Source organism: Homo sapiens, chromosome 14 (assembly GCF_000001405.40).
Source record: "Homo sapiens chromosome 14, GRCh38.p14 Primary Assembly".
Classification (NCBI taxonomy): domain Eukaryota; kingdom Metazoa; phylum Chordata; class Mammalia; order Primates; family Hominidae; genus Homo; species Homo sapiens.
In genome coordinates, this window is record NC_000014.9 from 91,128,884 (window position 1) to 91,141,320 (window position 12,437).

A 12,437-nucleotide genomic window follows, 5' to 3' on the forward strand; every position below is an offset into this window, starting at 1 on the left:
TGAGTCACATGGCACTATTGATGGGACAGGTAAGGCCCCATGATTGGCAGCCCTTCTGGGTTGGGGGAAAGACAGTTTCTGAAAGAAAAAAAATGCTAGGGAGACAAAATCAAATGTTAAGGGGCTGGGCTCTCAGCACATTCTTGGTTTGCATTCTCCAGTGGGTCAGAAGCCTGACAATCCGCCTAGCCTCTGCTTTGAGCGTCAGGGGACCCAGTTCTATTCCTGCATCCTTAGCCATCATCTACACACTTTTTATCTTTTCTTTTAAATTTTTAAAAATTGTGAAATCTATATACATATAAGCCATATGTTCAACTTAAAGAATAGTAAACAACTGTGTCCCTAGGATCCAAGTTAAGAAATAGATCAGAGTCAGTTTCTTAGAAGCTTCTATATGTGCTTCTCCCCAGTCATGTGCTCTCCTGTCTCTACCTGAGGGAAATTACAGATTTCATGCTTTTCTTTATAGTTTTCCTTTACACACATACCCTTAAGCCTCTAAGTACTATATGGTTCGGTTTTGCAAAGCCCAGAAGCCTATTTTAATGCTGTATATAAGAATATGCTAGCCGGGTATGGTGACTCATACCTGTAATCCCAGCACTTTCAGAGGCTGTGGCAGGAGGGTTGCTGAAGCCTAGGAATTCAAGACCAGCCTGGGCAATATAGGGAGACCCCTTCACTACAAAATTAAAAATTAAAAAAAAAAAAAGAATGTACTATATTGCTGTGACTTTTATTCAACATGATGTTTTTTGTTTTTTGTTTTTTTTTTCTGAGACGGAGTTTCACTCTTGTTGCCCAGGCTGGAGTGCAATGGCGCAATCTCGGCTCACCACAACCTCTGCCTTCCGGGTTCAAGCGATTCTCCTGCCTCAGCCTCCCTAGTAGCTGGGATTACAGACATGTGCCACCACGCCTGGCTAATTTTGTATTTTTAGTAGAGATGGGAGTTTCTCCATATTGGTCAGGCTAGTCTTGAACTCCCGACCTCAGGTGATCCACCCGCCTTGGCCTCCCAAAGTGCTGGGATTACAGGCATGAGCTACCGTGCCCAGCCTCAACATGATGTTTTTGAGCTTCGTTTGTGTTGATGCAGGTAGCTGTAGTTTATTTTTCACCACTGCATAGTGTTACATTGTATGATTTTCCCACATTGCATGTACTGTTTAGAGTGTATAACTAAGAATGGATTGCTAGGTTTAAAGGTGCTTCCACTCTATGGGATAATGCTAATTTTTTTCCCTAAAGTGGTTTATAACAATCAACCCTTGCACTACAAGTCAGTAATGGTGTTTCAGTTGACTTCATTCTTGTCGATTTTAATTTTTGTCAACCCCACAAGTGTGGCCTGTGTCTCATTATAGTTATAATTTGCATGTATTTAATTACTCTTGAAGTGAAGAATCTTTTCTTTTCTTTTTTTTTTTTTTTAGACAGAGTCTTGCTCTGTCAGGAGGCTGGAGTGCAGTGGCATGATCTCAGCAACCAGCAACCTGCAACCTCCGCCTCCTGGGTTCAAGCCATTCTCCTGCCTCAGCCTCCCGAGTAGCTGGGACTACAGGCACAAGCCGCCATGCCCAGCTAATTTTTGTATTTTTAGTAGAGACAGGGTTTCACCATATGGGCCAGGATGGTCTCGATCTCTTGACCTTGTGATCCGCCCTCCTTGGCCTCCCAAATTGCTGGGATTACAGGTGTGAGCCACCACACCTGGCCAAGAATCTTTTCTTATTTATTTATTTTTATTTGAGACAAGGTCTTATTCTGTCACCCAGGCTGGAGTGCAGTCGTGCAGTCACAGCTCACACAGCCTCAACCTCCTAGGCTCAAGCGATCTTACCACCTCAGCCTCCCAAGTAGTTGGGACCACAGATGTGCACCACCACACCCAGCTAACAGTGCATAATCTTTTCATAGTTATAAACCAACTGTTTTTTCTGTACTGTAAATGCCTGTTTATATCTTTCTCCCCATTTTTTTAATGAAGGGGTGGTCTTTTTCTTATTGATTAATGAGAGTTCTTTATATATTCTGGATGGTAATTATTCCATATCAGTTTTATGTTTTTTTCTTTTTGTGACAGGGTCTCGCTTTGTTGCTCAGGCTGGAGTGCAGGGGCAAGAACATGACTTACTGCAGCCTCAACCTCCCCGGCTCAAGCAAGCCTCCTGCCTCTCACCCTCCCAAGTAGCTGGGATTACAGCCACGTACTACCACGCCCGGCTAAGTTTGGTATTTTTAGTAGAGACGAGGTTTTACCATGTTGGCCAGGCTGGTCTGGAACTCCTGGCCTCAAGTGATCTTCCTGTCTTGGCCTTCCAAAATGCTAGGATTATAGACACGGAATATCATGCCTCAGTGTTATATGCTTGTATATCTACTTGCAGTTTGGGAATGCTTTTGCATTTTATTTATGGTGACTTTTGGACAGAAGTTCTTAATTTTGATGTCAAATTTATCTTCTCTAGGAAACCTTTCCCAACTTGAGATATTCTCTTTTTTTTTTGTCTTTTTATGGGCAATTTTATTCCATTTACATTCATTGTCATTACTGATATAGTTGGTTATAAGCCTAACGTCTTTTTTTTTTCTTATACTTCAAGTTGTAGGGTACATGTGCACAACGTGCAGGTTTGTTACATATGTATACATGTGCCATGTTGGTGTGCTGCACCCATTAACTCGTCATTTGCATTAGGTATATCTCCTATGCTATCCCTCCCCTCTTCCCCCACCCCACCACAGGCCCCGGTGTGTGATGTTCCCCTTCCTGTGTCCACCAACTTGAGATATTCTTTCCTGTTATAAAAGTTTCTAATTTCATCCTTCATATTTCGTACTTCATATTTAAGTATTTGATCTACCTGGATTTGATTTTTGTTACTGATAATTAGCTTCCAGTTTTACTTTTATTTATTTATTTTCAGACGGAGTTTCGCTCTTGTTGCCCAGGCTGGAGTGCAATGGCACAATCTCAGCTCACTGCAACCTCTGCCTGGGTTCAAGTAATTCTCTTGCATCAGCCTCCCAAGTAGCTGGGATTACAAGAGTGTGCCACCACACCCAGCTAATTTTGTATTTTTAGTAGAGACAGGGTTTCTCCATGTTCGTCAGGCTGATCTTAAACTCCTGACCTCAGGTGATCTGCCCACCTTGGCCTCCCAAAGTGTTGGGATTTCAGGCGTGCGCCACTGTACCTGGCCCCAATTTTACTTTTGTACCCACTTGTCTGCAATTACTCTGTGTCAGAAATCAAGTTTCCAGACATGGCTATGGGTTTTATTTTGTCTTGTTTTCCCTGAGCTCTCAAATTTCCTGTGTTGAACTTCATTTTTTTCCAAAATTCATTGTAGACCAATATTTTTGTAAGTACAATAAATATTAATTACTATGGGCAGGGTGTGGTACCTCACTCCTATAATTCCAGCACATTGGAAAGTAAAGGTGGGAGGATCACTTGAGCCTAGGAGTTCAAGACCAGGCAGGGCAACATAGTGAGATCCCATCTCTACCAAAAAATAAAACAATTAGCTTAGCATGGTGGTGCATGCCTGTAGTCCAAGATACTTGGGAGACCCATAACTTTTTCTTTTTTTTTTTTTTTCTTGAGACACAGTCTTGCTCTGTCACCCAGGCTGGAGTGCAGTGGCACGATCTTGGCTCACCGCAACCTCCACCTCCTGAGTTCAAACGATTCTCCTGCCTCAGCCTCTCAAGTAGCTGGGATTACAGGCGCCCGCCACTGCGCCCGGCTAATTTTTGTGTTTTAGTAGAAATGGGGTTTTGCCATGTTGTCCAGGGTGGTCTCGAACTCCTGACCTCAGGTAATCTGCCAGCCTCGGCCTCCCAAAGTGCTGGGATTACAGGCGTGAGCCACTGCGCCCAGCCAGAACTTTTTCATCTTCCCAAACTGCAACTCCTCAGTCATCCCTCCCTTCCCCCAGCCCCTGGCAACTACCATTTTACTTTCCATCTTTATGAATTTGACCATTCCAGGTCCCTCATATCAGTGGAATCATATAATATTAGTCCTTTTGTGTCTAGTTTCTTTTACTTATAATGTCTTTCATGTCTCCAAGGTACACCCATGTTATGGCATATATCAGAATTTCATTCTTTTTTGGCTGGGCGCGGTAGCTCACGCCTGTAATCCCAGCACTTTGGAAGGCTGAGGTGGGCGGATCACTGGAGGTCAGGAGTTTGAGACCAGCCTGGCCAACATGGTGAAACCCCTGTCTCTACTAAAAATACAAAAATTAGCCGGGCGTGGTAGCAGGCGTCTGTAATCTCAGCTACTTGGGGGGCTGAGGCAGGAGAATTGCTTGAACCCGGGAGGTGGAGGTTGCAGTGAGCCGAGATCTTGCCACTGCACTCCAGCCTGGGTGACAACAGCAAGACTCCGTCTCAACAACAACAACAACAACAACAAAGAATTTCATTCTTTTTAAAGGCTGAATAATATTCCATTGTCTGTATATACCAAATTTGTTTATCTATTCATCCATCAGTGGACATTGGCTTCCACCTTTTGGCTATTGTGGATAATACTGCTATGAATATTGGTATACAAATATCTGTTCGAATCTCTGCTTCCCATTCTTTTGGGTATATACCAGAAGTGGAATTACTGGATTACATGGTAGTTCAATGTTTAATTTTTAAAAATTATATATATTTTTTCTAGAGATGGGGTCTTACTATGTTTCCTAGGATAGTCTTATACTCCTGGCCTCAAGCAATTCTCCCGTCTCAATCTCCCAAAGTGCTGGGATTACAGGCATGAGCCACCGCCTGTAGCCCAATGTTAATTTTCTGAGGAACAGCCATACTGTTTTCACAGAGGGCTACACCATTTTACCATCACACCAGCAATGTACAAGGGTTCCAGTTACTCCGTGTCCTCACCGATACTTCTTTTCTAATTTTGCTTTTGTCTTTGATAATAGCCATCCTAATGTATGTCAAGTGGTATCTCACTGTGGTTTTGATTTGCAGTTCTGTAATGAGGTTGAGTATCTTTTCATGTGCTCAGTGGCCATTTGTATAGCTTCTTTGGAGAAAGGGCCATTCGAGTCCTTTGCCCATTTAATTGGACTATTCATTTGTTTTTTGAGTTGAGTTGTGGGAGCCCTTTCACTCCATCTTAATTACCATAGTTTTCTGTGTCTTAATATCTGGTAGAGGACAAGCCCCCAACCCCAACACACACCTGTCTGTTGCTCTTGTTTAAAAGCGATTTGTTATTTTTTGGCCCTTGACCCTTCCCTGTAAGTTTTGGAATCAGCGTGTTCAGTTCCTTTTTAAAAACCTGTTAGGATTTTGATTGGAATTGCCTAGAATATACAATTTAGGGAGAACAGATATATTTACAACATTGCGTCTTTCTGTCGTGAACATGCTGTCTCTCCATTTATTAGTTCTTCTTTAATGTCTTTAAGTAAAGTTTTACCATATTTTCCATAAACGATTTCACATATTTTGTTAGATTTATTCCTGGGTAATTGATATTTATTCATGCTATTATAGATGGTATCATTCAAAATTACATTTCTTTTTTTTTTTTTCTGGGATAGAGTCTCCATCTGTCACCCAGGCTGGAGTGCAGTGGCACCCTCTCAGCTCACTGCAACCTTGGCTTCCCAGGTTCAAGCGATTCTCTTGCCTCAGCCTCCCGAGTAGCTGGGACTACAGGCCTGTGCCATCACGTTCGGCTAATTTTTGTATTTTTAGTAGAGACAGGGTTTCGCCATGTTGCCCAGGCTGCTCTCAAGCTCCTGACCTCAGATGATCCACCTGCCTTGGCCACCCAAAGTGCTGGGATTACAGGCATGAGCCACCGTGCCCGGCCTCACAATTACATTTCTAACTGTTACTGGTGTATAGAAGTGCAGTTGACTTTTACATATTGATTTTATATACAGAAACCTTCCTGAACTCACTTACTAATTTTAATAATTTATTTGTAGATAATGTTGGGTTTTCCACGCAATCATAATATCTGCACGTTTTTTCTTCCTTCCCAAGCCTTTACACATTTTTTTCTTTTTCTTTTTGTGACAGGATCTCACTCTGTAGCCCAGGCTGGAGTGCATTGGTGTGATCTCTGCTCATTGCAACCTCCCCCTCCCAGGCTCAAGCAATCCTCCCACTAGCCTCCCGAAGTAGCTGGGACTACAGCCGCACACCACCATGCCCAGCTAATTTTTTAATTTTTTGTAGAGACAGGGTTTCTCTATATTTTCTAGGCTGGTCTTGAGAACTCCTGAGATCAAGCAATCCTCCTGCCTCATCCTCCCAAAGTGCTGGGATTACAGGCATGAGTCACTGTGCCCTGCTGCCTTACACATTTTTATTTGCTTTCTTATTCTTGTTCTACTACACAGGCTGGTATAATATGATGGTATTGGGAGTTCTTAGGCCTTGCTCCTGATCTTCACGGGGATGCTTTCAACATTCACCATTAAGTATGGTATAGGCAGGCCAGGCACGGTGGCTCACGCCTATAATCCCAGAACTTTGGGAGGCCAAAGCGGGCGGATCACCTGAGGTCTGGAGTTTGAGGCCAGCCTGGCCAATATGGTGAAACCCCGTCTCTACTAAAAATACAAAAATTAGCCAGGCATGGTGGCGCATGCCTATAATCCCAGCTACTCGGGAGGCTGAGGCAGGAGAATCACTTGAACCTGGGAGGCAGAGGTTGCAGCGAGCCGAGATCGAGCCACTGCACTCTAGCCTGGGCAACAAGAGTGAAACTCTGCCTCATTAAAAAAAAAAAAAAAAAAAAACAAGTATGGTATAGGCTTTTGCTGTTTTTGTTTTTAACCTTGCTAGATGTTCTTTATCAACTTCTAGTTCAAATTAGTTGAGTTTTTATTATTGACAGACATTAAATGCTACTAATTTTTTTTCTGCATTTATTGAGATAGTATCTTTTTGCCTTTAACATGGTAATATGATGAATTACATGAATCACTTTTGTAATAGTAAACCAATCTTGGATTCTTGGGGTAATTCCAACTTGGCTAGGATACATTAGCTTTTTTTTTTTTTTTTTTTTTTTTTTGAGATAGAGTCTGGCTCTGTCGCCCAGGCTGGAGTGCAGTGCTGCAATCTCGGCTCACTGCAGGCTCCGCCTCCCAGGTTCACGCCATTCTCCTGCCTCAGCCTCCCGAGTAGCTGGGACTACAGGGGCCCGCCACTATGCCCGGCTAATTTTTGTATTTTTAGTAGAGACGGGGTTTCATCATGTTAGCCAGGTTGGTCTCGATTTCCTGACCTCGTGATCCACCTGCCTCGGCCTCCCAAAGTGCTGGGATTACAGGCTTGAGCCACCGAGCCCGGCCACATTAGCATTTTTTATACTACAGGGGTAAAAGAAAAGGTGTGATACCTTTCCTTCCCATCAAAGCCAATACTCCTAAAACAAAAGACAAGTTAACAAGAGAAAAGCATAACAGATTTTCTTAATGAAAGTTTTATGTGACACGAGAGCCTTTAGAAATTCAGACCCAGGCCAGGCGCTATGGCTCACACCTGTAACCCCAGCACTTTGGGAGGCCAAGGCAGGCAGATCACTTGAGGTCAGGAGTTCAAGACCAGCCTGGCCAACATGGTGAAAACCCCTTGTCTACTAAAAATACAAAAATTAACCAGGCATGGTGGTAGGAGCCTGTAATCCCAGCCACTCGGGAGTCTGAGGCAGGAGAATTGCTTGAATCTGGGAGGAAGCGGTTGCAGTGAGCTGAGACATACCACTGCCCTATAGCCTGGGTGACAGAGCAAGACTCTGTCTCAAAAAAAAAGGCACGGTGGCTCGCGCCTGTAATCCCAGCACTTTGGGAGGCTGAGGCAGGTGGATTACCTGAAGTCAGGAGTTTGAGACCAGCCTGGCCAACATGGAGAAACTCCATCTCTAACTAAAAATACAAAATTAGTCAGGCGTGGTGGTACATGCCTGTAATCCCAGCTACTGGGGAGGCTGAGGCAGGAGAATTGCTTGAACCCGGGAGGTGGAGGTTGCGGTGAGCCGATATTGTGCCATTACACTCTAGCCTGGGCAACAAAAGCGAAACTTTGTCTCAAAAAAAAAAAATGCAGACCCCCAAGCCTCAGGGAAAACTCTATTTTTATGCTTAGGTTCGCTGAAAAATGGCCAGCTGTGTAGAAATATGGTTGGACAGAAGAGAGTGATCTAATGCTCATAGAGTGATGGGAGGCAAAGGCCCAGCAGAACGTGTCTGTTCAGGTTTTTTTTTTTTTTTCCCGTAGAGACATGGTCTCCCTATGTTGTCCAGGCTGGTCTCCAACTCCTGGCCTCAAGGGGTCCTCCCACCCCAGGTTCCCAAATTGCTAGGATTACAGGCATGAGCTACCATGCCCAGCCCTGTTCAGATTCTTCTTGGTCTCTCTGTGTCTCGTTCTTTTACCTGGAGTGTAGAATGTGACCTCTTTTGGAATAAGGGTCTTATGGCCTACTATCAGAAAAGGTAGAGAATTTCTTTTCTTTTTTTTTTTTGAGACGGAGTCTTTCTCTGTTGCCAGGCTGGAATGCAGAGGTGTGATCTCTGCTCACTGCAACCTCCACCTTCCAGGTTCAAGCGATTACCCTGCCTCAGCCTCCTGAGTGGCTGGGACTACAGGCGTGCGCCACCACGCCTGGCTAATTTTTTTTTTTTTTTTTGTATTTTAGTACAGACGGGGTTTCACCATGTTGGCCAGGATGGTCTTGATCTCCTGACCTCATGATCCGCCCGCCTTAGCCTCCCAAAGTGCTGGGATCATAGGCGTGAGACACCGTACTTGGCCTGAGAATTTCTCTATGGCTAGCTCTTACACAGAAAGGCAAGGGAAGGTTAGAGTAATATTTCTAGGTTTTATGGCTGGCTTTGAGAGAGAGGGTTTCTAGTTTCTATCACCTGCCTTAGGGAAGAGGAATTCTAGTTTCTATGGCCTGCCTTGGGAGAGAGGGGAGCAGGAGAGATGGAGACAGGAAAAGGTCAGTAACATCTTGCTTCTGAGCCCCCCAATGTCCTTCAGTTCAAACTACTCAGCATGACAAAGCACCAAACTTTGGGATATCATTTTCTGAGCCCCAAAAAGACACTGCGTGATTCAGTTTGCTAATACTCTGTTTAGAGTTTTTATATCTATACTCATTAGTTACATTGACCTGACACTTTCCTCTTTGGTCCTGCCTTTGTCTTCTGGTCCTGAGGGTTTTTGTTGATCCAGATAAATGTTCTGGGCACTAAGGTAGTGTCCCCTGCCTATCTAGACCATGGGGTATCAGACCATTCTCACACTGCTATAAAGAAATACGCAGCTGGGCGCGGTGGCTCACACCTGTAATCCCAGCACTTTGGGAGGTGAAGGTGGGTGGATCACCTGAGGTCGGGAGTTCGAAACCAGCCTGACCAACATGGAGAAACCCCATCTCTACTAAAACTACAAAATTAGCCGGGTGTGGTGGCTCATGCCTGTAATCCCAGCTACTCAGGAAGCTGAAGCAGGAGAATCGCTTGAACCCAGGAGGCGGAGGTTGCGGTGGGCCAAGATTGCGCCATTGCACTCCAGCCTGGGCAACAAGAGTGAAATTTTGTCTAGAAAAAAGAAAAAGAAAAAAAGAAATATTCGAGACTGGGTAACTTATAAAGGAAAGAGGTCTAATCCCCAGTTCCACATGGCTGGGGAGGCCTCAGGAAACTTAAATTCATTGCAGAAGGCAAAGGAGATTTAAGCACCTCCACAAGGTGGCAGGAGAGAGTGAGCAAGAGGGAGGGGGGAAATGTCACAATTTTAAGCCATCAAATCTCGTGAGAATTCACTCACTGTCATGAGAACAGGGAAACTACCCCCATGGCCCAGTCATCTCACACATGGTCCCTTCCTCATCATGAGGATGATGATGATTACAATTTGAGATGAGATTTGGATGGGGACACAGAGCCAGACCATATCAGATGGGGCATGAATCTAAGTTATATTGGCCTTCGAGACCATGAGCTCAATCAAAAGTCAGCTCCTGAGCAGGAGCTCAACAAACTTTTAGGTAAAGAACCAGATATTTTAAATATTTTAGGCTTCCACGACACATGCATCTCTGTTTCTATTAGTCATTGTTCTCCAGAGAAACAGAACCAATAGGAGATACAGATATAGACAAACAGATTTAGTATAAAGAATTGGCTCACAGGATTATGGAGGCTGAAAAGTTCCACTATCTGCCATCTGCAAGCTGGAGATAAGGACTAAATTCCAGTCTGAGTCCAAAGGCCTGAGGACCAGGAGCACTGATGGGGCAAATCCCAGTACAGGGACAGGAAAAGGCCCAGCTCAGTCAGCCAGGCAGAGAGCAAATGCTCCCTTCCTCCTCCTCCTTGTTCTCTTCGAGTCCTCCGTAGACTGCATGATGACCACTGCCATTGGTAAGGATGGGATCCTCCTTACTCAGTCTACTGATTCAAATGCTAATTTCACCCCAAAACACCCTCACAGATGTACCCAGAAATAACCAGACCGGGCGTGTTGGCTCATACCTGTAATCCCAGCACTTTGGGAAGCCAAGGCAGGTGGATCACTTGAGGTCAGGAGTTTGAAACCTGCCTGGCCAACATGGTGAAACCCCGTCTCTACTAAAAATACAAAAATGAGCTGGATGTGGTGGCTTGTGCCTATAATCCCAGCTACTTGGGAGGCTGAGGCAGTAGAATAGCTTGAACTCGGGAGGCAGAGGTTGCAGTGCGCCGAGATCGTGCCACTGCACTCCAGCCTGGGCAACAGAGTTGAGGCTTTGTCTCAAAAAAAATGAAGTTTAACCAAATGTCTGTGCACCCTGTGATACAATCAAGGTGACACATAAAATTGACCATCACACTGTAAACCAAAAAGTACCTGAGACAGTTCTCAATCAATTTAGAAGTTTATTTTGCCAAGGTTAAGGACAAGCCCAGGAGATGGGTCTGTGCCTTTCTCCAAAGATGATTTTGAGGACTTCAGGATTTAAAAGGGGAGAAAGCAGGATGGAGGGGGAAGAGGGAGGCTGTGGTCACATGACTGAATCCCCATGTTGCAAGAGAAAGGGAGCAGGTAGGGGAATAGTAAGTCAGCACTCTCTGTAAGATAAGGTGAACATAGAGTAACTACCTGCAGAGATCTTTAACCTTTTATGTGTAGCTATCTGCTTAGGAACAAAAGGAAAGACAGATTCTTGCATGACTCAGCTTTCAGCTTCATTTTCTTCCTTCTGGCAGAGTGAACCAGGGTTCAAGTTTTTGTTTTTCCTTCACAATACTGTTGTTTCTCCTCTTCCCTTTCCTCCTCCTCCTTCTTCTCCTTCTTCACAACTCCTAAAAATGTAAAACCTATTCTTAGCTCACAAACCTTACAAAAAAGTTTGCCAGTTTGATTTAAACTGTCTCCCAAAATCTATGTCTCAATGACATGTTGTTGTTTCCTACAATATAGTGATGCTTGAGTGATTATCTAAAGAAAATAATTTATGGGTCGGGTGCGGTGGCTCAAGCCTGTAACCCCAGCACTTTGGGAGGCTGAGGCTGGCGGATCACCTGAAGTCAGGAGTTCAAGAGCAGCCTGGCCAACATGGTGAAACCCCATCTCTACTAAAATACAAACATTAGCCAGGCATGATGGCACATGCCTGTAATCCCAGCTACTGGAGAGGCTGAGGTGGGAGAATCTCTTGAACCTGGGAGGCGGAGGTTGGAGTGAGCCTAGATCACGCCATTGCACTCCAGCATGGATGACAGAGTGAGACCCCTTTCCAAAACAAACAAACAAGAAAATAATTTATGAAAGTCAAGAGCCTGATAAACAGTCACCACCCATTCGTAATCTGTGCTGCCACACCTCTAGCCAGCAGATCTGCCATCTTTTGAAATGAGTATCAACCTGGACATTCCCAAGTAAAGTGCCCACAACACCTAGGGGTTGTGATTCAAACAGCAATGGTTAGACTCAGGCTCTCTCTTGCTGCCCTCTCCTGGCTGGTCTATTGTTGAGGATCAGATGTGAATCCTGTAGGATTTCATGAGACTCAGGAAACCTTCAGGTCTGATTGCTGACCTGTAGACTTGTCAAAATTTCTACCAGTGGATAGTTCTTAAGGCTGGTCATGATGGCCGAGTTTGTCTGTTATTTCTTGTAGGGTGCTCCGACTTTCTTGAGTGTAAGTGTTATAGAAAAAGAATAGTTATCAGGCTGGGCACAGTGGCTCACACCTATAATCCCAGCACTTTGGGAGGCTGAGGCACGTGGATCACTTGAGGCCAGGAGTTCAAGACCAGCCTGGCCAACATGGTGAATCCCTGTCTCTACTAAAAATACAAAAATTAGCTGGGTGTGGTAGTTCCAGCTACTCAGGAGGCTAAGGCAGGAGAATCGGTTGAACCTGGGAGGCAGAGGTTGCAGTGAGC

The 12,437-nt window shown here is 44.6% G+C and overlaps 1 protein-coding gene across 12 annotated transcripts in view, besides 1 other annotated feature; it reads left to right on the plus strand.

Annotated features, from left to right (window-relative positions):
• DGLUCY (D-glutamate cyclase) overlaps positions 1 to 12,437 on the plus strand; it is a 165,300-nt gene that overhangs the window by 68,551 nt on the left and 84,312 nt on the right. The window lies entirely within an intron of this gene.
• Positions 11,822 to 12,116: a silencer, noted in NCBI's record as "tiled region #15407; HepG2 Repressive non-DNase unmatched - State 12:CtcfO, and K562 Repressive non-DNase unmatched - State 13:Ctcf". NCBI's record gives its function as "represses a minimal TATA promoter and a strong SV40 promoter by Sharpr-MPRA in HepG2 and K562 cells {active_cell/tissue: HepG2 | K562}" and the evidence as "EXISTENCE:reporter gene assay evidence [ECO:0000049][PMID:27701403]".